Below are 23,034 nucleotides of genomic sequence, written 5' to 3'. Positions count from 1 at the left end.
TGATTTGGAAGGAGAAAGAGAAGAGTGAGAGGGGAGATATATGTAGCTAAGCAACGGATGGGGGAAAAAAAGCCAGCTAGTAAGAAATTCTAGGTGGTAGTGTTGGCCAATTAATAATAATAATAGGCCAGGCATGGTGGCTCACACCTGTAATCCCAGCACTTTGGGAGGCCAAAGTGTGCGGATTGTTTGAGCCCAGGACTCAAGACCAGCCTGGGTAACATGGTGAAACCCTGTCTCTACAAATATACAAAAATTAGCTGGGTGTGGTGGCATGCACCTGTAGTCCCAGCTACTTGGGAGGCTGAGGTGGGAGGATCACTTAAGCGTGGGAGGTTGAGGCTGCAGCAAGCCATGATCTCACCATTGCACTCCAGCCTGGGCAACAGAGTGAGACCCCATCTCAAAAAATAACAATAAAATAATAATAGCTAACAGTTACATTCTGCTTACTATGTGCCAGGCAATTCTAGGTGTTTTCCATATAATAACTCAATTACCAAAACAATACTGTGAGATATATAATTTTTCTCATTTTATAGATTAAAGAAATTGAATCACAGATAGATTAAACCACTTGCCCAACATCCAACAGCTAGTGACTGGTAGAGCCAAGATTCAAAACCCCAATGATCTGGCTCCTAAATCTTTGTTCTTAATGACTATGTAGTACCATGGAGGACAATTTGGGGAATTCAAAAAACTCAGGATTCAAGGAAATCATCCAAAGCGGGAGTCAGGATTTCTGTAGAAAAATGTCCTATCACAGTACTATTTCTTGAACACCTACTGTGTGTCAACAGCTGTTTTGGTGTTTACACATACCATTTAATCCTCACAAAACCCGTAAGTGATAAGAACTGTCACCCCCATTATTTATTTATTTATTTATTTATTGACAGGGAGTCTCGCTCCGTCACCCAGGCTGGAGTGAAGTGGCACAATCTCGGCTGACTGCAACCTCCATCTCCTGGGTTCAAGTGATTCTCCCGCCTCAGCCTCTCGAGTAGCTGGGACTACAAGTGCCCGCCACCACGCCTGGCTAATGTTTGTATTTTTAGTGCAGACGGGTTTTGCATTGTGGGCCAGGATGAGTCTTGAACTCCTCACCTCAGATGATCCACCCACCTCAGCCTCCCAAAGTGCTGGAATTACAGGTGTGAGGCACCGCATGCAGCCCCCCATTTTTAGATGATGAATTTGAATGATGAAAGCCAAGTGATAAAATGACTTCTAGCCCAAATGCATTTCACATTGGTTCTATGCATTCACGGACCCACCCTGTGGTTAATTCCCCAGTTTCTGGAAGTAGAGATCAGCAGATATATATTTAGCAGATATTAGAATTCTTGTGTTGTTTTTCTGACCTGAGGAGTAAGAATCTTTTTTTTTTTTGAGACAGAGTCTTGTTCTGTCACCCAGGCTGGAGTACAATGGCTTGATCCCGGCTCACTGCAACCTCCACCTCCTGGGTTCAAGCGATTCCCCTGCCTCAGCCTCCTGAGTAGCTGGAATTACAGGCATGCCACCACCACACACGGCTAATTTTTGTAGTCTCTAATGTTAGTAGAGATGGGGTTTCACCACATTGGCCAGGCTGATCTCGAACTCCTGACCTCAAGTGATCCGCCCGCCTCGGCCTCCCAAAGTGCTGGAATTACAGGCGTGAGCCACCACATCCAGCCGAGTAAGAGTCTGTAGTAGAAAGGGCCAAGTGGAAGCCCCTGAAGTTACCCAGACACTTCACTGCCCCCATCAGTAGAAGCAATATTGCATCCCAGAAAGAACTGCAGAGATTAACACCATCAGAACAGACTTAGAGGACACAAGCCTGTTTATGCCCATTATATCTCTATTCAGATCACCTCTATGGCTTCTGCAATAAAACAGACCCTGGCAGATGATGGTGGAATGTTCTGGTAAGGCTCAGTTAAGTGTCAGCTCAGGAACAAATCCAGTGGTAATGATGAACAGGCTATTTGTAGTAATCATGATCATATCAAGGGTAAGGCAATCATAAGGACTTCAGGGACAGTCATAGTCCCACCACCAAGCAAGAAATCCAGGCCAGCCAAAGTGCTAGATGAGAATAAGAGAAATCTAGATTGAGTGGTAGAAGAAGCAGATAATGAATATCAATTACAGCTTTGGGATCAACTGTAGCAGCAAGTGTTATAACTTGTTTCACTAATTTGCTTGGATTATCAAGTGTTTGCAGAGAACGCAGCCAACTGCCATACTGAAGACGACCGTATGACAAATTAAATTTACACAAGGGCATTTTAAGTGGGCTTGAATGGTGCAAGGGTTGGACTCTGTCAAACACCTCTCATGTCCCACTTCATATCTTGTCAGTCTCACCTCTTATTCCAGCCATTGTGCAGCAGTGACCATCTTCATGAAGATGTAACCTGAAAATGCCTGGCCTCAGGCCCGTCTCATGTCTTTCATTTTCTGCCTTCCAGTCTCTTTGAGCTGCCATGCCTGATGTCTGTGGGAGTCCACTTAGCACTCATTTACAGGAAACATAAATGTTCCCTAGGGCCAGTCTTGACCAATGGGAGAGGGAAACTGATGGATAACCTTTTCTCCCTCTCTTCCCCTGAGCAAGACAGTCCTTAAATGCATCCTATATGGTCTCTCAGAAGGTCTCCCATGCTTGAGTAATCAGTTGTCCTCAGTAGTAGTTAATATCTTATCCTTATATTTGCACTCCCTATTTCATTTTCTGCAAGCATAGCTCCTGCTTCCTGAGATCAGCACAGCAAATTAAACTACTCACACATAAGCCTTTGTCTCAGGCCCTGCTTTGGGGAGAATATAGGCTAAGACAAATGCTTTAAGGCCATAAACAGAATTGAGAGGGTATTTCAGACTTCTGCCTTCAGGGACTGGGGGTTGGAGTCAAAAGTTTTTCTCTATTGTGCTCCAAGGTTAAATAAACAATGCTGTTGGTCATAAAATGTCATCCACATTTTCTTCCTGTGAAATAGGGTCACTTGATGATAATCAGCAGTCCCTTTGCTCTTAGAACATTTTGCTTTCATCCTTCTCCTGGTTGATATTAATGGTCTTTATAAAATTGATATTGATATGATCTGATGCTGATAAAGAGGAATTTGGGCTGGGCACAGTAGCTCATGACTGTAATCTCAGCACTTTGGGAGGCCGAGGCGGGCAGATTGCTTGAGCCCAGGAGTTTGAGACCAGCCTGGGCAACATGGCGAAACCTCAGTTCTACAAAAAATACAAAAATTAGCCAGGTGTGGTGGTGCACCTATAGTCCTAGCTACTCCGGAGGCTGAGGTGGGAGGATGATTTAAGCCTGTGAGGTCAAGGCTGCAGTGAGCTGTGCCCACTGCACTTTGGCCTGGGCAACAGAGTGAGACTCTGTCTGCCCCTACCCTCCCACTCCACCAAAAAATAAAAACAAAAAGAGAGAGTGGGATTCAAATACCAAGGTGCACCTCAATGAAGTCTAGATTCCTCTGGGCTTCTGATCAGTGCACCACAAAATTCTGAACACTCATGAAGACAAGATAGGAGGCTAGGTGCAGTGGCTCACGCCTGTAATCCCAGCACTTTGGGATACCAAAGGGGGAGGATCACTTGAGGTCAGGAGTTCCAGACCAGCCTGACCAATAGAGAAACCTTGTCTCTACTAAAAATACAAAAATTAGCCAGGCGTTGGGGCGGAAGCCTATAATCCCAGCTACTGGGAAGAATGAGGCAGGAGAATCGCTTGGGCCCAGAAGGAGGAGATTGCAGTGAGCCGAGATCATGCCACTGCACTCCAGCCTGGGAGACAGAGCGAGACTCCATCTCAAAAAAAAAAAAAAAGACAAGATAGGAGACTCCACAGCAAACACTTCCAAGTCATGGGCAAAGGTCTGGTGGCTAAATAGGGGAAGACATTTTTTTCTTTTCCTTATTTAGTCTCTCCTCAGAACACAAATTGGGAGCTTGAAGAAAGAAATAGTGTAATGGTTATAGATGCAGATGCTGCCATCTGATGGGCTGGGTTGAATCCTGGCTGCATCACTTACCAGCAGTGAGTACCCGAGTGAGTTCCTTAACTCTCCAGTGCTCTATTTCCTCACAATGTTTACATAAATGAGATGACTTATGTATCACACTTCACCCAGTGTTTGGTATCTAGTAAGTGTATGCTATTAATAATAATTGAATCATTGCTACTATTCATATCCTAGTTCACATGGAGCTTGGCAACAATGAAATCTAAGGTTCTGTGTGTTATACCTGTTTTTTTTTTTTCCATATTTTAAGTTACCTCATAACCCTTAAAAGCAAAGATTACTGAAATGTGTGTCCTGGCCCCGCCCCAATAACAAAATATAGGAAAGGAGCTGTGGGACACCCTTTGGCACTCAAATTAAGATCTTAGTTTTCCAGCCTAGCCAACATGGTGAAACCCTGTCTCTAAAAAAATACAAAAATTAGCTGGGCATGGTGGCACGCGCCTGTAATCCCAGCTACTTGGGAGGCTGAGACGGGAGGATCACTTGAACCTGGAAAGTGGAGGTTGCAGTGAGCCAAGATTGCGCCACTGCACTCCAGCCTGGTTGACAGAGCGAGACTGTCTCTGGGGGAGCAGGGAGGCGGGAAGAAAGATCTTAGTTGTTGTGCCAGGTGCGGTGGCTCACGCCTATAATCCAAGAACTTTTGGAGGCCGAGGTGGGCAGATCACTTGAGATCAGGAGTTTAAGACCAGCCTGGCCAAAATGGTGAAACCCCATCTCTACTAAAAATACAAAAAATTAGCCAGGCATGGTGGTACGCACCTGTAATCCAGCTACTTGGGAGGCTGAGGCAGGAGAATCACTTGAACCCAGGAGGCGGAGGTTGCAGCGAGCGGAGATCGTGCCACTGAACTCCAGCCTGGGATACAGAGCGAGACCCTGTCTCAAAAAAAAAAAAAAGATCTTAGATGTTGGCTAGGCATAGTGGCTCACACTTGTAATCCCAGCACTTTGGGAGGCCAAGGAGGGAAGATTGCTTGAGGTTGGCAGTTCAAGACCAGCCTGGGCAACATGGCAAGACCCATCTCTACAAAAAAAATTTTTTTAATTAGCCAGGTGTGGTGGCACGTAACTGTGGTCCCAGCTACTCAGGAGACTGAGATGGGAGGATCACCTGAGAACAGGAGTTTGAGGCTGCAGTGAGCTATGATCACACCACTGCACTTACATACATACATACATACTTACATTAGTTATTGACACAGAGGCTTAGTGATATCAATGAGCTAAGAACGAATGAAAACTGATCAGTTACTCCTTGGAAATCCTGGCCTCTGAGGACTCATGGTAGATAGCTCCAGTGAAGGCCTCAAACAGTGAAAAAGCAACTATGACCAAAGCCTTGCTACGAATACTACACGGGGAGCCAAGATCACGCCACTGCACTCCAGCCTGGGCAACAGAGTGAGACCCTGTCTTAAAAAAAACACAAATACTACATGGGGTTTCTACTTCCTTCAGAAAGCCTATACAAAGTTTCGGAAAATTTCAGACACAATAAACCTGGTTAAGGAAGAGGGTGTGTGTGTATGCATGCAAGTGAATGCAGGTACACGCATTCACACACACAAACACATAGACACACACTCCTGCGTGAGGGCTGGGCATGGGAAAAGATTGATGGGATTTCATTCGTAAATTGGGAGGAGAATGAAAGAGCTTATTCAATGTGCAGTTGTAACAGGCATTAAAGGAAGGCAAGGAATGCAATGGTGTGGCTGAACAAGAATCATGAGCTAGAACAATTCCAGGTGGGCCCTCTGCTTTGAAAGCACTTTTTAACCAGGCAGGTGGATTTTAATAATAAGCTACCCAGCAGGCCAGCCAGGTCCCAGCATGAAGCATCAGGTGGCAAGCAGGTGACGATTAGAATGAGGTGTGGTTGGCAGAACAAAAAGGAATAACAAGAAGCCTCCTTCTCATTTTTCACCTGAGGTACAGAGAGGAAAAGTGACCTGCCCATGATTACACGCAACTGAGAGGCAAAACTGGGACTAGAATTAGGACTAGAACTTCTGTCAGCTTCTTCTTTTGCAGGGCAAAGATCCCTGGGAACCATCAGGTCAATTAATGTCAACTGATTCATTCTTTTTTTTTTTTTTTTGACACGAAATTTCGCTCTTGTTGCCCAGGCTGGAGTGCAATGGCGCGATCTCAGCTCACTACAACCTCTGCTTCCCGGGTTCAAGTGATTCTCCTGCCTCAGCCTGCCAAGTAGCTGAGATTACAGGCACCCACCACCATGCCTGGCTAATTTTTTGTATTTTTAGTAGAGTTGGGGTTTTACCATGTTGGCCAGACTAGTCTCAAACTCCTGACCTCAGGTGATCCGCCCGCCTCGGCCTCCCAAAGTGCTGGGATTATAGGCGTGAGCCACCACGCCTAGCTGATTCATTATTTTATTCAGTATTTTTTAATCAATCATTCTCATTTATCACAAATTCATTTATTCAACAAATGTTACTGAAGGCCTACTATATTCCAAGCTCTGTGCAGGGATCTGGGACAACCAACTCAGACCAGACCTGATTCAGACCCATGGGGTGAGGCACACTCTGTTATAGACTGAATGTTTGAGCCCCCTACCCCAGTTGATATGTTGAAATCTTAACCTTCAATGTGATGGTATAGGGAGGTGGGGGCCTGTCTAAAGTAATTAGGTTATGAGGGTTGAGCCCTCATGAGTAGAATTAGTGCCCTTATAAAAGACAGCCCACTGGCTGGGAGCGGTGGCTCACACCTGTAATCTCAGCACTTTGGGAGGCTGAAGCAGGTGGATTGCTTGAGGTCAGGGGTTCAAGACCAGCCTGACCAACACAGTGAAACTCCATCTCTACTAAAAATACAAAAATGACCCAGGCATGGTGGCTGGCACCTGTAATCCCAGCTACTTGGGAGGTTAAAGCAGGAGAATCACTTGAACCCTGGTGGCAGAGGTTGCAGTGAGCAGAGATCATGCCACTGCATTCTAGCCTGGGTGACACAGTGAGTCTCTGTCTCAAAAATAAATAAATAAGTAAATAAAAATGAAAGAGAGCCCAGAAAGCGCTCTCACTCTCTTTCCACCATGTGAGGATACAAGAAGTTGGCAGTCTGCAACCTGGAAGACAGCCCTCACCAGACCCGCTTCCTGGACCTGGATCTCAGACTTCCAGCCTCCAGAACTGTGAGGAATAAATGTCTGTTTGTCTGTTGTTTATAAGACACTCAGTCTGTGGTACTTCGGTATAGCAGCCTGAACTAAGACATGCTTATAAACATACAAGATGACTGGAAAATTATTATCCTGTTGGTCCAAGAACTCCTCTTGGGAAAGGAATTGTCTTCTTTGGAATAACACCTTCATAAGGTCTTGGGTAGAAGGAGAGGCCAAGAACAGAAAGCGCCCTGGAACTACTCTACACAAGAAAGGCTTTCGAAGAGGTTTGTTGTTTCAGAGAGTGAGGGAAGATCAGAAAAATGGGGAGACTGAAACTGCACCAGGAAAGGGCAACAGGGGGACACCACATGGCCAAAGAGTCAAAGAGGACCAGGGAGGGCCAGCCTGATGCCTTGAGATTTAAAGGATTTGCTGTGTGTGCTGTGCTCGTCAGTAAAGTCTCTGTACTCATAAATACTGTGTATCAGCAGGTTTTGCCTGGAAAGCAGTGAAGGAGCTGAATCTCCAATCTGGGTTATAAGGTAAGAACACAGGCCACAACTGAGAATTAGGAAGTCCAGGAGAAAAGAGGTGATGTGAAAATGTATGCCTCTGAGACTCTGCAGAAATACAAGGGAAAGCCTTGGCTTCCACAGGCTGTCAAATTGAGACTAAATGGTTGGGCAAAGTCAGTTTTATTTAGATTTGAAGAATCTTGGAGGGCTTAGCTGTCATCGGGGTTACAATTGTAAATTCTGAAAAGAAACCTGCATGAAGTGCTTTGGGAAAATTTCATAGATCATCTGAACTGGGTCATGCAGGATTTGTCATAGGATAGGAGGAGCCTGACATACAATAAAGGAAAAGGGCATTTGGGGCCTGGGGCTGTGGCTCATGCCAGTAATCCCAGCACTTTGGGAGGCCAAGGAAGGTGGATCATGTGATAAGGAACTGAGGGCTTCTGTTGGCCTTGGAAGTGGATACTACAGCTCCAGTGGAGCCTTCAGTTGACTACAGCCCCTGGTGTCATCTTGGCTGCAACCTGAACCAGAACCACCTAGCTAAGCCACTCATGAATTCCTGACCACAGAAACTCTGAAATAATAAATGTTTCTAGGCTGCTAAGTTTTGGGTAACTTGTTATGCAGCAATAAATAGCTAGGATGGCATATAAATGCAATACTATTCACTTCTAATTTTAAACTTGGAACTGGACTGTTTCTTTCTTTCTTTTTTTGAGACAGGGTCTCACTCTCTTGCCAAGGCTGGAATGCAGTGGCGCACAATCACAGCTCACTGCAGCCTCAATCTCCCAAGCTTAAACAATCCTCCCACCTCAGCCTCCCCAGTAGCTGGAACTACAGGTATGCATCATCATGCCTGGCTAATTTTTTTATTTTATTTTTATTTTTAGTAGAGACAAGTTTTTGCTATGTTGGCCAGACTGGTGTGGAACTCCTGAGCTCAAGCGATCCTCCCACCTCGGCCTCCGAAAATGCTGGGATTACAGGGATGAGCCACCACACCTGGCCTGTTTCTTTCTGAGTTTCATTACCCTCCAAGTGACATTATAAACAATCATCCCGAAGTCTAAAAACATATAACTTATTCAATTAATCATAATCTTGAAGACCCTATAAAACTGACATCGGCACCTTTCTGCAATTTCTCCCCATGTCTCAAATATACTCATTGCAGAAAAGGGCCAAGGTCAGTTTCATAGGGGTCTTCAAGCTGAAAACTCTGAGCAGATCGTTGAAGTGTTTCATAAACCATGTGACCTGGCCTCTTTTCTTTCTATGAAATCAGTCCACTCTACTCCAGTTCCTGGCCATTGCCGGTGACTGGAAAGCTTTCCTGACCACTACACGTTTCTTTGAAAGGGAGTGTCCAGATTTTGATGATCTCACAAACTGCAGCCGCTCTATGGGTTCTGATTGCCTAGAGACTTGTTTTCATTCTTCTTTTTTTTTTTTGAGACAGAGTTTTGCTCTTTCACCTAGGCTGGAGTCCAGTGGCAAGATCTTGGCTCACTGAAACCTCTGCCTTCCGGTTTCAAGCAATTCTCCCGCCTCAGCCTCCCAAGTAGCTGGGATTACAGGTGCCTGCCACGTCTGGCTAATTTTTGTATTTTTAGTAGAGACGGGGTTTTTGCCATGTTGGCCAAGCTGGTCTCGAACTCCTAACCTTGTGATCCACCTGCCTTGGCCTCCCGAAGTGCTGGGATTACAGGTGTGAGCCATTGTATGTGGCCAATTCTTTTATTTTTTAAAGGTGAACCGAAGAGGCATGGTGGCACATGCCATGCCTGTAGTCCCAGCTACTGAGGATAAGCAGAGACTCAGGTAGGAGAGACTGGGTTGGAATCCTATTTTAGACATTCATGCCATTCAACAAATATAGAGCGTATCTGTTGTGTCAGCTGCTATGTGGGTTGCTGCTGCTACAATGATGAATAAAACAGAAAAGGTCCCTGTCCTCATGGAGTGAATAACTAGTGAGATAATTGGATAATCACACACATAGTATAAAATTGCATCCAGCTGACAGGTGCCCAGGGTAGGATAAGGGGAGGTTGGGGAAGGCTGTCTTGGGGAAGCAGTGCTTGCTATAAAAGCCAAAGGATGAAGAGCTAACTAGCCTAAGGGGAGAAGGAAGAACATTCCAGACAGAGGGAAGGGCGTGTATAAAGGGCAGTGACAGGAGGGAACATGGCATGTACCAAAGGCTGAAAGCAGGTCATTATGCCTAGAGTGGCAAAGGTGGGTGAAGAGGAATGCATGAATGTGAGAGACATCTAGGAGGTTAAATAGACAGGACCTGGCAAGAGCAGTGAGAAATGCTTTTGCTGGAAGAACAGGTAAACTGACCAACTGTGGCTTAAACACCTAAGGGTGGTGTGGGCGTGTGTGAACCTGACCCAATAGTACCTTAGTTTTTTTTTGGACAAACATAGAAATTGACCCTTCTGGTCTTAAAGCTGGAAAGTTATATTTATCTGAGTTCCTTCCTCAGGAAATGACCTTCAGGTCTCTCAAAAAAAGTATCAAAGAACTGAAACTCACCGGATCACAGCATCCAGAAAATGAGATGCCAAGCCCCTCATTCATCATGATTGCTTCCTTATTCCTCCCTAGTTCCTTTTTTTTTTTTTTTTAACACATTATTACATTTCTTTCCTGCTATATAAACCTAGTTTTAGTCAGTCAGGGACCCAAGTTTGAGATTGATCTCCCATCTGTTTCTCTGCAGCACCTGATTAAAGCCTTATTCTTTGGCAATAATCATCTCAGTGATTGGCTTTTTGTGAAGCAAGGAACAGGAACTAGATCGGAACCCCTGGTGTTTCAGTAACACGTGTGTGTGTGTGTGTGTGTGTGTGTGTGTGTGTGTGTGTGTTTCCTCACATAATAAGTCTGGAGGTAGAGGGATTTGTTTATTAGCTCAATGATGTCAGGGCCAGCATGAGGCAGTTTTTCCTAACAGCTGAGTCTAGCTTTATGCCTCATGTTCAAGCCTAAAGCAGAAAGAATGAGAAAAGGGGTACAATTCATGACAACTGTCTCTACCATTTTTTGTTAGAACTCAGAAAATTCACTAGAAATGAAGTTAGGGGAAAAAACCTCAGAAAAATAAGATTCCCGTTTATTGTTGGACAACATTGTTTCACACATACATCGAACAGGCTGAAAAAATAAGATTTGTTGTTTTTGCATTTATTTATTTTTGAGACAGAGTCTTACTCTGTCACCAGGCTGGAGTGCAATGGCATGACTGCTGCTCACTGCAACCTCCGCCTCCTGAGTTCAAGCAATTCTCATGCCTCAGCCTCCCGCGTAGCTGGGATTACAGGTACCCACCACCACGCCTGGCTAATTTTTGTATTTTCAGTAGAGACAGGTTTTCACCATGTTGGCTAAGCTGGTCTCGAACCCCTGACCTCAAGTGATCCACCTGCCTAGGCTTACCAAAGTGCTGGGATCAAGGCATGAGCCACCATGCCTGGCCTATTTTTGCTTTTTTTCAGATAGTCTCACTCTGTCGCCCAGGCTGGAGTGCAATGGTGCGATCTCGGCTCACTGCAACCTCTGCCTCCGGGGTTCCAGATTCTCCTGCCTCAGCCTCCTGAGTAGCTGGGACTACAGGCACCCACCACCACACCTGGCTAATTTTTGTATATTTAGTAGAGATAGGATTTCACCATGTTGGCCAGGCTGGTCTCGAACTCCTGACCTCAGGTGATCCACCCGCCTTAGCCTCTCAAAGTGCTGGGCTTACAGCCGTGAATCACCTCGCCAGATCTATTTTTCATTTTTTACAAGTTTGTTTTTTCTTTTCTTCCTCCTTTGAGATTCTAATGAACATGGTCACACTACAAGTAAAGTCAGAAGTTGGGCAAAGAACATTCTGAAAGCTGCTTTGGTCATCCAAGATTATTAAAAATGCCTGCACTCTAAAAATATGTACAAAGATATAAAGTAGAAACAAAAAATATAGACCAATTTTTCTTTAAAAAATGCTTTTGGCTAGGTGCAGTGGCTCAGGCCTGTAATCCCAGCACTTTGGGAGGCCAAGGCAGGTGGATCACGAGGTCAGGAGTTCAAGACCAGCCTGGCCAACACGGTGAAACCCTGTCTCTCCTAAAAATACAAAAATTAGACAGGTGTGGTGGCATGTGCCTGTAATCCCAGCTACTTGGGAGGCTGAGGCAGAGAATTTCTTAAACCCGGGAAGCAGAGGCTTCAGTGAGCCGAAATTACGCCACTGCACTCCAGGCAATAGAGTGAGACTCCATCTCCAAAAAAAAAAAAAAATGCTTTTAAGAAAAAATGCAAGGCCTTGGAAGTTTTGGTTCTTCTTTCCTCTCCTGTTGCAGATTCACGTTACGGTTTTGGATGGGTGGCAGAAAGTGCATGTCACCTTCGGTGGCACGGTCTGCAGTGGGTGGGCCTCTCTACTGGAAGGTGACCACCTTTAGATACTGAGACAGCAAGTACGAGTGGCCTTCTTTTACCTTCTTTTAACTTATCCTTTTTTGCTGTCTGGTCATCTTCATTGGTCTTCTGCTTCTCGGTGTCAAGATCATCATCATCATCATCTTCAGCTGCCCATTTGACTGTAGCTATTACAGGAAAGTAATCGATTGTAAGGATGGAAGTTGGTTGGAATGATGTGAGGAAGGGGCCAAGGAATGCAGGCAACTTCTAAAAGCTGAAAAAGACAAGAAAAACAATCTCCCTGCAGAGCCTCTGGAAGCAACCAATCCAAATGACACCTTGACTTTACTCCAGTGACTGATTTTAGATTTCTGGTTTACAGAACTGTAAGAGAATAAATTTGTGTTGTTTTAAGCTACTAAGTTTATGGTAATTTCTTACAGCAGAAATAGAAAATTAATGCAAAGTGCCTTTAAAACATCTAAGTAGCTGGGCATGGTGGCGCACAACTGTAATCCCAATACTTTGGGAGGCTGAGGCAGGAAGATCACTTGAGCCCAGGAGTTTGAAACCAGCATGGACAATATAGGGAGATCCCATCTCTACACACACACACACACACGTTGCCACATCCCTGTGGTCCCAGTTACTCAGGAGGCTGAGGTGGGGAGGACTGCTTGAGCCCAGGAGATCGAGGCTGCAGTGAGCTGTGTTTGCACTATTGCCCTCCAGCCTGGGCCACAGAATGAGACCCTGTCTCTCAAAAACAAAACAAAAACATCTACGTGAGGTCAGGTAGCCAACTGGAGACCAGGGTCTGAAAGTGAGAGAAGAGTGCTGAGCTAGAAATCTGTGAATCATATTCACATGGGTGGCAGCTGAAGCTGTGGGAGGGCATAAACTCATATTAGGGAGGTGACACTGTCACCTACTTGCTGTGCATCTTTCAGCAAGATAATTAACTGATCTGACACATTATTGAGCATTTATTCTGTCCTGGAATCATATCAAGCAATTTACATGCATTCTCATTTAATCCTCACAACCAGTTTATGAGGCTGAAACTTTTTTTTTTTTAGACCAAAAGCATCTTGGATAAACAGGCCTGAGGCTTGCCCAGGCTGAAGTGCAATGGCGCGATCTCAGCTCACTGCAACCTCCGCCTCCCACGTTCACGCGATTCTCTAGCTTCAGCCTCCCGAGTAGGTGGAATTACAAGCGCCCGCCACCATGCACGGCTAATTTTTTTTTAATTTTTAGTAGAGACAGGGTTTCACCATATTGGCCAGGCTGATCTCAAACTCCTGAACTCAGGTGATTCGCCCACCTCGGCCTCCCAGTGTTGGGATTACAGGCGTGAGCCACCGCGTCCGGCCAGAAACCATTTTTATCTCCTATTTTCAAAAATAAATAAATAAATAAAAATTTTAAAAAAAGAAACTGAGGTTTAGAGTTTAGTTTGTCCAAGATCATACAGTAAAATAATGAGACAAGCCTAATTAAATTGCATGTGCCTCAGTCATTACGCAATCTGCGAGTTTGTTGGGCCTACTGAATCAGAATCCGAATTATTTTAACATGAACCGTAGGCTATTTGTACACTAAGCGTTAGGACTAGCCTCTACCCTGCTTCCAGAATGGGTTCCGCTCAAGCAGGAGGTGAGCCAAGAGCCTCGCTCAGAGTTCTAAAAACACAATGTTTCTCACCTCTGTATCTTTGCACATGCCATTCTCTAGCTGGATTTAATACTCCGGTGCAAGCGTCCAGGTTGGGAGCCCCCGCAGTTCTCTGAGGTACTTTTATCTACTGTAACTCTAGGGCAACAATCCTGGCTTCTCCACTAGTGCGTGAACGTCTCTAGCGTTAAGTTTTTTTCTCACCTAAGTATCCCCAATACTACACAGTGATGACCCAGCGCAAACGACCACTCTTTCAACGCAAGCATGAACTAGCTGATAAAACTTAAAAGTGGCTACAAACGCCTGCGCAGGAGCCCTTCCGGCCCGGGGTGAGACGCGGGTCTAAAGAAAAGGTGGGCGGGAGGTTTAAATAGCTGACTGCAGTCCCCGGACTGGCTGCGCCGCTCGCCGCATGCGCGCAGCTAGCGGGCACGGCTTCAGAGGGCTTTCTCCGCATGCGCGGGATCCCGGATGTGGATCAAGTTGGTGGGAAGCGTGCGGTGCCGCAGCAATGGCGGCGCTCACAATTGCCACGGGTACTGGCAATTGGTTTTCGGCTTTGGCGCTCGGGGTGACTCTTCTCAAATGCCTTCTCATCCCCACATAGTAAGGGACTCGCACGGCCAGGGGCTGGGCGGGGAGGCCCCGCGGTCGGTCAGGGCGGGAGAGAAAGGTGTGGATATCCCTGGGTATGAAGAGAAAACTTTAGGTCGTGTTTGTCGCTATCCTGCCTTTGCTAAGCTTTCTGTTTCGCCAGTTGTTACTTGACTTAGCCCCAGCTGGCTAGGTTCAGACCTGGCGCTGTCTGATTTGGAACAAATCACTTTAACGTTTCTGAACCTCAGGGTCCTCATCCTTAATAGGCAGTTAAGAACCTCTGCCTCCAACAGCCATTCAGCCAGTATTATCAGATGCCTGAGGTGCCAGGTACCGTTCTAACTCCCGGGAGATGCGGTGGTGAGCAAGACATTGCTGGTCCTTGCCCTCGAAGTTGGTGGGTGGAGCTAGACAAACAGGAACTTTTCAGATTGTGATAAAGGAAATAGAGGGTTACTAAGTGGCTGTGCGCTATTCCTTTAGAAGGTGATGTTTGAGTTGAAATTCAAAAAATGAAAAAGAATAAGTGATGTGGAAAGCAGTTCAGGCATAGGAAAGAGTAAGTTCAAAGGCCCTGTGGCAGGAAAGAAGTCAGAGCATTCTAGGAACAGAAAGTGCCCCTTGTGGCTGCAGAGCATTGAGGGAGAGGAGTGGCACAGCATGGGGTGCACTGGGGACAGATAACACAGGGTTTCGAAGACCACAGTTAGACTGCTGTGTAAAAAATGGATGTAGGGCCAAGACTGAAAGCGTGGAAACCAAGAAGCAACCATGAAATGGTGGTGTGTATACAGTAGGTACTCAGTATTTATTAATATTGGCTTCCGCCTTCCCTTCATCCTTCCTCTTTTTTCTTTTTCTCCCTCATCCCTTTTCTCCTTTCCCTCCCACTTCCTAGTTTAGGGTTTGTTTTATTGGTATCCTTTGATTCAGGCTCTTGGTGATCTCTTGTTGAATATGGGAGAGTCATATGTATAGAATGTAAGTCCATACTGATGCGTATATGTAATCATGTAAGTGGAATGTATATGTAGATTCAGTAAAATGATTAACTGTAGGTCTGTGCATAAGATTATTTCTTGCTTTAGTTGCCTCAGGCTAGAAATGTATCCTCAGAGTTGTTTTTTTTGTTTGTTATTTTTTTTTTTTTTGAGACAGTCTCGTCCCACTCTGTCACCCAGGCTGGAGTACAGTGGCACGATCTCAGCTTACTGCAACCTCTGCCTCCCGGGTTCAAACGATTCTCCTGCCTCAGCCTCCGGAGTAGCTGGGATTACAGGCTTGCACCACCGCGCCAGGCTAATTTTTGTATTTTTAGTAGAGATGGGGTTTCACCATGATGGCGGAGGGCTGATCTCAAATCTCCTGACCTCAAGTGATCCACCTGCCTCGGCCTCCCATAATGTTGGGATTACAGGCATGAGCCACCGTGCCTGGCCAGAGTTGTTATTTTGAATACTGCTCTTGGTCCAGGTTAAGAATGTATATAGCGCTCACTTTGGCAGCACATGTACAGGAATACCTCATTTTTTGTACTTTGCTTTATTGCACTTCACAGATACTGCATTTTCATTTTTTTTACAAATTGAAGGCTGCGGTAACTCTCCATTGAGCAACTCTATCAATGCCATTTTTCTAACATCATGTGCTCATTTTGTGTCTGTGTTACATTTTGGTAAATCTTGAAATATTTCACACTTTTTCATTGCTATTATATTTGTTATGATCTGTAATCAGTGATCTTTGATACTACTATTCTGATTGCTTTGGGGCAACACTATGGTGAACTTAATAAATGCTGTGTGTTCTGACTGCTCTATCAACCAGCTGTTCCATCATCTCTCTCCCTCTCCTCAGGCCTTGCTGTTGACTGAGATACAATAATAAAGTTAGGCCAATTAATAGCCCTACAGTGGCATCTAAGTGTTCAAGTGAGAGGAAGAGTCACATATCTCTGACTTTAAATCAAAAGCTAGAAATGATTGAGCTTGATGAGGAAGGCATCCTGAAAGCCAAGACGGGCTGAAAGCTAGGCCCATTGTGCCAAACAGCCAAGTTGTGAGTGCAGAGGAAAAGTTCTTGAAGGAAACTAAAAGTGCTACTCCAGTGAATACACAAGTGATAAGAAAGTGAAACAACCTTGATGATATGGAGAATGTTTTAGTGGTCTGGATAGATCAAACCAGCCATAACATTCCCTTAAGCCAAAACCTTATCCAGAGCAAGGCCCTAAGTCTTCAATTCTTTGAAGCCTAAGAGAGGTGAGGAAGTTGCAGAAGAAAATTTGGAAGCTAGCAGAGGTTCTTTTAAGAAAAGAAGCCATCGGCCGGACGCGGTGGCTCATGCCTGTGATCCCAGCACTTCGGTAGGCCAAGACGGGCGGATCACCTGAGGACCAACATGGAGAAATCTCGTCTCTACTAAAAATACAAAATTAGCTGGGCGTGGTGGAGCATGCCTGTGATCCCAGGTACTTGGGAGGCTGAGGCAGGAGAATCACTTGAACCCGGGAGGTGGAGGTTGCAGTGAGCTGAGATCGCGCTATTGCACTCCAGCCTGGGCAACAAGAGTGAAACTCTGTCTCAAAAAAAAAAAAAGGAAGAAAAGAAGCCATCTCCATAATAAAGTACAAGGTGAAGCAGCAAGTGCTGATGTAGAAGCTGCAGTAAGTTTTCTAGAAGATCTAGCTAAGCTCACTGATGAAGGTGGCTACACTAAACAATAGGTTTTCAAGGTAGAAGAAACAGACTTACATTGGAAGATGCCATCTATGACATCTAGTTGAGCCATTTCTCACTTACTATTCTAAAAATCCAATGGCCCTTAAGACTTATGCTAAATCTACTCTGCCTGTGATCTATAAATGGAACAACAAAGCCCTGGATGACAGCACATCTATTTACAGCATGGTTTACTGAATAAGCCCACTGTTGAGACCTACTGCTCAGAAACATTTTTTTTTTCTAGAGGCAGGGTCTCGCTCTATCTCCCAGGGTGAAGTACAGCGGCACCATCATGGCTCACTGCAGCCTTAATCTCCTGCGCTTGAGCAGCCTTCCTCCCTCAGCCTCCCGAATAGCTGGGACAAAGACAGATGCCACCATGCCCAGCTAATTTTTTTTCCTTTCTCTCTCTATTATCTGTCTGTCTATCTATCTATATGTGTGTGTTTTGTTTTGGTTTGTTTTTTTTTTTTCTTTTTGGTAGAGACGAGGTGTCACTGTGTTGCCCAGGCTGATCTCGAACTCCTGGGCTCAAGTGAGCCCTTCCAAAGTGCTGGGATTACAGGCCTGAGCCACCTCACTGGTCAATATTTTTCCTTTTTCTTTTCTTTTTTGAGACAGTGTTTCACTTTGTCAGGCTGGAGTGCACTGGTATGATCTCAGCTCACTGCTGCCTCTACTTCCTGGGCTCAAACAATCCTCCCATCTCAGCTCCCCAAGTAGCTTGAACTACAGGTGCACACCACTACACCCAGCTAACTTTTTGTATTTTTTGCAGAGATGGGGTTTCACCATGTTGCCCAGGCTCGTCTCAAATTCCTGACCTCAAGCGATCCACCTGTCTTGGCCTCCCAAAGTGCTAGGATTACAGACATGAGCCACTGCACCCACCCATTATTTTTCTTTTTTTTTTTTCTTATTTATTTATGTTTGAGACGGAGTTTCACTCTGTCTCCCATGCTGGAGTGTAGTGGCACAATCTCAGCTCACTGCAACCTCAGCTTCCCGGGTTCGAGTGATTCTCCTGCTTCAGCCACCCAAGTAGCTGGGATTACAGGTGCACACCATCATGCCCTGCTAATTTTTATATTTTTAGTAGAGATGGGGTTTTGCCACATTGGCCAGGCTGGTCTTGAACTCCTGGCCTCAAGTGATCTGCTCTCTTTGGCCTCCCAAAGTGTTGGGATTACAGGCGTGAGCACCATGCCCGGCTTTTTTTTTAAATGTATTTTTGGAGAGATGGGGTCACTGTGTTGCTCAGGCCGGCCTGGAATTCCTAGGCTCAAGCAATCCTCCTACCTTTGCCTCCCAAAGTTCTGGGATTACAGACATGAGCCCCTGTGCCCAACCTTAATGTTGTTTTCATGCCTGCTGATGTAACATCTATTCTGCAGCCAGTTGAGTAGTTGATTTTTTTTTTTTTTTGAAACAGGGTCTCACTCTGCCTCTCAGGCTGTAGTGCAGTAGCATGATCTCATCTCACTGCAACCTCCACCTTTCAGGCTCAAGCAATCCTCCTACCTCAACCTGCCAAGTAGCTGGGACTTAAGGTGTGTGCTACCATACCCTGCTAATTTTTTGTATTTTTAGTAGAGATGGGTTTTTGCTGTGTTGCCCAGGCTGTTTTTGAACTCCTGTGCTCAAGCAATCTGCCTGCCTTGGCCTCCCAAAGTGCTAGGATTATAGGCGTGAGCCACCATGCCCAATCAGTTTTGACTTTTAAGTCTTGTTATTTAAGAAATACATTTCATAAGGCTATATCTGCCATAGATAGTGATTCTTCTGATGGATCTGGGCAAAGTAAATTGAAACCATTCTAGATGCTATTAAGAACATTCATGATTCATGGGAGGAGGTCAAGATATCAACATTAACAAGAGTTTGGAAGAATTAGATTCCAACTCCAATGGATAACTTTGAGGGGTTCAAGACTTCATTGGAAAAAGTAACTGCAGATGTCATGGGAATAGCAAGAGAACTAGAAGTGGAGCCTGAGCATGTGATTGAATTGCTGCATGATATCTCATGATACAACTTGAGTGGATGAGGAGTTACTTCTCATGGATGAGCAGAGAAAGTGGTTTCTTTTGAGATGCACTCTGCTAATGAAGATGCTGTGAATATTGTTGAAATGACAACAAAGGATTTAGAATATTATATAAACTTAGTTAATAATCAGTGGCAGGGTTTGAGAAGAAGGATTGACTCTAGTTTTGAAAGTTTTACTGTGGGTAAAATCCTATCAAACAGCATTGCATACTAGAGGAATCTTTTGTGAAAGGAAGAGCCCATCAATGTGGCAAGCTTCATTGTTGTTTTATTTTAAGCAATTGCCACAGTCTTGCCAGGCGCAGTGGCTCATGCCTGTAATCCCAGCGTTTTGGGAGGCTGAGGCGGGCGGGTCACCTGAGGTCAGGAGTTCAAGACCCGCCTGGCCAACATGGGGAAACCCCGTCTCTACTAAATATACAAAAATTAGCCAAGTGTGGTGGTGGGCACCTGTGATCCCAGCCACTTAGGAGGCTGAGGCAGGAGAATCACTTGAACCCAGGAGGCGAAGGTTGTAGTGAGCCAAGATCACACCATTGCACTCCAGCCTGGGTGACAAGAGTGAGACTCCATCTCAAAAAAAAAAAAAAACCAGTTTGCCACAAGTCACCCCAATCTTCAGCACCCATAAACCTGATCAATCAACAGCCATCAACATTGAAGCAAAATCCTCCACCAGCAAAAAGATTAGGACTTGCCGAAGGTGCAGATGATCATTAGCTTTGTTTTAGCGATAAAGTATTTTAAAATGAAGGTGTACGCTGTCTTTTTAGACATAGTAGTATTGCACGTTTTATAGTATAGTGTAAACATAACTTTTTTTTTTTTTTGAGACGGAGTCTCGCTCTGTCGCCCAGGCTGGAGGGCAGTGGCGCTATCTCGGCTCACTGCAAGCTCACCTTCCGGGTTCACACCATTCTTCTGCCTCAGCCTACCGAGTAGCTGACCCTACAGGCGCCCCTCACCAAGCCCGGCTAATTTTTTTTGTATTTTTAGTAGAGATGGGGTTTCACCATGTTAGCCAGGGTGGTCTCGATCTCCTGACCTCGTGATCCGCCCGCCTCGGCCTCCAAAGTGCTGGGATTACAGGCGTGAGCCACCGCGGCCGGCCAGTGTAAACATAACTTTTACATGCTCTGGGAAATCAAAAAATTCATGTGACTCACTTTATTGCGATATTCACTTCATTATGGTGGTCTAAACCCACAATATCTCTAAGGTATGCCTGCACTAAAATCGAATGATACAGGAAGCTTAGCATGGTCCACGCACAAGGATAGCATGCAAATTTATGAAACACTTCATATATTTAAAAACGAATGTTTTTAATTGTAGTTAATGCTCTGTTTCTCAAACCAGAAACCCCTGGGATATGAGAGGGAAGTTACAGGATAAATGCAGATATATTCAACAAAACATTTACTAATTGCTTTATTATGTACCAGGTACTGTTGCTAGGCTAGAAGGGAGGAAAAAATAGATATGATCCCTAGCCCTGTGAAGTGTGTAGTTCAGTAAGTATAACAGTACAAGAAACAAATCAATGCAAATATATAGTTACATAACTACAATTTGGATTAAGTATTAGGAAGAAGAGGCTGGGTGTGGTGGCTCACGCCTGTAATCCCAGCACTTTGGGAGGCCGAGGCGGGCGGATCACGAGGTCAGGAGATCGAGACCATCCTGGTTAACACGATGAAACCCCGTCTCTACTGAAAATACAAAAATTAGCCGGGTGTGGTGGTGGGCGCGTGTAGTCCCAGCTACTGGGGAGGCTGAGGCAGGAGAATGGCATGAACCCGGAAGGCGGAGCTTGCAGTGAGCCGAGATAGCGCCACTGCACTCCAACCTGGTCGACAGAGTGAGACTCCATCTAAAAAAAAAAAAAAAAAAAAAATGGAAGAAGAAGAACAGGATCCTATCAGGCGACCAAGAAGGAAGATGTACTTTCAGTTAGGTGTCAGAGAATGTCTCTGAGGAACTGACATCATTGGAGGCCTAAAGTGTGAATGAGAGGGCCATCCATGCAGAGTATGTGGTGTGTGCAAGTGTGTAGAACTTATCTGAAAGAGCACACTGTATAAATATAGGCCCTGTGGTGTGAAAGTATTGACCTATTTGGGCAGCTATGATAAGGCCAGTGTAGCTGGCATGGAATAAGCAACAGAGACAGAAACATGCACAGTGAAATTGGAAAGATAGGCACCAAATCATGCCGGAGCTTATAAAGCCAGGATGAAAAATTTAGATTTTGATTTTATAAGCTCAGTGGAAATGATCTGCATTTATAAAATATTTTTTGGCTCCCATATAAATGATTGGAGGAGGCAGAAGGAGAGTCAGGAAGGCTAGGTGCCCTTTGAGAAAGTCTACATGAGAGAAGATGCTGACTTGAATTGGAGTGGTGGCATTAGAGATAGAAATGGACAAATTAAAGATTTATTTTGCCTTGAGGTCAGGAAGGATTTGCAGAGAAAATAACAACTAACTTTGGAAGTATTTGGTGGTTTAAGAGCCGTAGCTAGGGAGTCAGACTGCCCTGGTTAGAATCTGGCTCTGCTGCATACTGGCTACATGACAGGGCAAGCTGCTTCTCTACGCCACTGGTGAAATGGTAAGAGTTAAAGAACCTACCTCACACAGAGTGTTGCAGGCAGAGGGAAAAGGTGAATGTAGAGTAAGACAAAGACAGGTGGGAGGATGGTGAGAAATGGGCTGAAAAGGTGAGTAAGCGAGATCCAAAAATATCTTTTAGACTATGTTGAGTACTTTAGATTTTATCCAGAGGGCAGAGGCCAGTTAAAAGGGAAATATAACATTCGTGATTTAGAAATACTACTTTGGCTGCAATGTGAAAGCTAGATTAATGAAGGGCCTGAGTGAAGATGGGGAGTTCAATTTAAGAAGCTATCATAGGACAAGTAAGAGATGGTAGGTTTTTGTTTGTTTTAATTTTTAGAGACAGGGCTGGGTGCAGTGGCTCACACCTGTAATCCCAGCACTTTGGAAGGCCAAGGCAGGCAGATTGCTTGAGCTTGGGAGTTTGGGACCAGCCTGGGCAACATAATGAAACCCCGTCTCTACAAAAAATACAAAGAATTAGCTGGAGATGGTGGTCAAAAATTTTAGAGACAGAGTCTAACTCTGTTGCTCAGGCTAGATTACAGTGGCACAGTCATAGCTCACTGCAGCCTCAAATTCCTGGGCTCAAGCCGTCCTCTGGCCTCAGCCTCCTGAGTAGCTGGGACTACAGGTGCACACCACCACACCAGCTAATTTTTAAGTTTTTTGTAGAGATGGGAGTCTCATTATGTTGCCCAGGCTGGTCTTGAACTTCCAACCTCAAGCTATCCTCCCACCATGGCCTCCCAAAGTACTGGGATTATAGGCATGAACCATTGTGCTCGGCTGATTGTAGATTTTGTTAATGCAATTTAAAAAAGTAGTTACTATTTATCATTATGTCTCTAGTCTTAGTTTTGCTTTTTTTTTCAAGTGTCATTTCAGCAATTAAGATTACTTTTACTGATGGGTGCAGTGGCTCACGCCTGTAATCCCAGCACTCCAACAAAAGTGAAGTCTCCAACAGTTTTGAATAGGAAACAACAAAATAAAGCACCCAAAAAAGAGACTGGAAAAAGTCTATATAGTACAACTATATAGGAAAAGAAAGTGTCCCCAAACTCACTCAGATTTTGTAAATGCTGTCTCCAAAGAGAGTAAAAAAGACATGTCTATAAAACAAGAACAGATGCTATGAAACAGGAATTATCAGAGAAACAGTGGTTAATAGAAAATGTTATTGCCAAAATTAAGGACAAATTGAGTAAATCTTTCAAAAATATAAGAGAAAAGATAAAAATTATAAG

At 44.8% G+C, this 23,034-nt stretch overlaps 1 protein-coding gene, 1 long non-coding RNA gene and 1 pseudogene across 34 annotated transcripts in view, besides 4 other annotated features; 2 read left to right on the top strand and 1 right to left on the bottom strand.

Moving 5' to 3' along the window:
- KCTD21-AS1 (KCTD21 antisense RNA 1) overlaps positions 1-14,103 on the bottom strand; it is a 34,185-nt gene extending 20,082 nt beyond the window's left edge. Inside the window, exons 1-3 of one of the 2 annotated variants that reach the window (NR_102280.1) lie at positions 13,824-14,103; positions 12,194-12,301; positions 4,803-4,919 (exon numbers count right to left, since the gene is read on the bottom strand). This is a non-coding gene — a long non-coding RNA (KCTD21 antisense RNA 1). The remainder of the gene's footprint in view (positions 1-4,802; positions 4,920-12,193; positions 12,302-13,823) is intronic. The other variant, NR_102281.1, reaches the window with a different exon arrangement.
- Positions 12,827-13,537: an enhancer, noted in NCBI's record as "H3K27ac hESC enhancer chr11:77851405-77852115 (GRCh37/hg19 assembly coordinates)". NCBI's record gives its function as "activates a minimal SCP1, AML or CMV promoter by ChIP-STARR-seq in naive H9 embryonic stem cells {active_cell/tissue: H9 hESC(naive)}" and the evidence as "EXISTENCE:reporter gene assay evidence [ECO:0000049][PMID:30033119]".
- Positions 13,698-13,807: an enhancer, noted in NCBI's record as "active region_5316". NCBI's record gives its function as "activates an Ori minimal core promoter by ATAC-STARR-seq in GM12878 lymphoblastoid cells {active_cell/tissue: GM12878}" and the evidence as "EXISTENCE:reporter gene assay evidence [ECO:0000049][PMID:35858748]".
- Positions 14,270-23,034, top strand: part of ALG8 (ALG8 alpha-1,3-glucosyltransferase) — a 38,681-nt gene continuing 29,916 nt past the window's right edge. For 27 of the 32 annotated variants that reach the window (NR_189148.1, NR_189149.1, NM_001425231.1 and 24 more), the window contains exon 1: positions 14,270-14,402. Coding sequence is in view for 25 of the 32 variants with exons in the window: in NM_001425231.1 (NP_001412160.1) it covers positions 14,308-14,402 (95 nt within the window). In the remaining 7 variants the exon portion in view is untranslated. Of the gene's footprint in view, positions 15,187-18,548; positions 18,667-23,034 lie in introns of all 32 variants that reach the window. The other 5 variants (XR_001747956.2, XM_005274247.4, XM_047427578.1 and 2 more) reach the window with 3 other exon arrangements.
- Positions 14,418-14,497: an enhancer, noted in NCBI's record as "active region_5315". NCBI's record gives its function as "activates an Ori minimal core promoter by ATAC-STARR-seq in GM12878 lymphoblastoid cells {active_cell/tissue: GM12878}" and the evidence as "EXISTENCE:reporter gene assay evidence [ECO:0000049][PMID:35858748]".
- Positions 14,578-14,687: an enhancer, noted in NCBI's record as "active region_5314". NCBI's record gives its function as "activates an Ori minimal core promoter by ATAC-STARR-seq in GM12878 lymphoblastoid cells {active_cell/tissue: GM12878}" and the evidence as "EXISTENCE:reporter gene assay evidence [ECO:0000049][PMID:35858748]".
- RNU6-126P (RNA, U6 small nuclear 126, pseudogene) lies at positions 20,374-20,476 on the top strand (annotated as a pseudogene).

The sequence above is a fragment of the Homo sapiens genome, chromosome 11 (assembly GCF_000001405.40).
Source record: "Homo sapiens chromosome 11, GRCh38.p14 Primary Assembly".
Lineage (NCBI taxonomy): Eukaryota > Metazoa > Chordata > Mammalia > Primates > Hominidae > Homo > Homo sapiens.
Note: the sequence above shows the minus strand (reverse complement) of the source record. Positions and strands in the feature narration are given on the sequence as shown.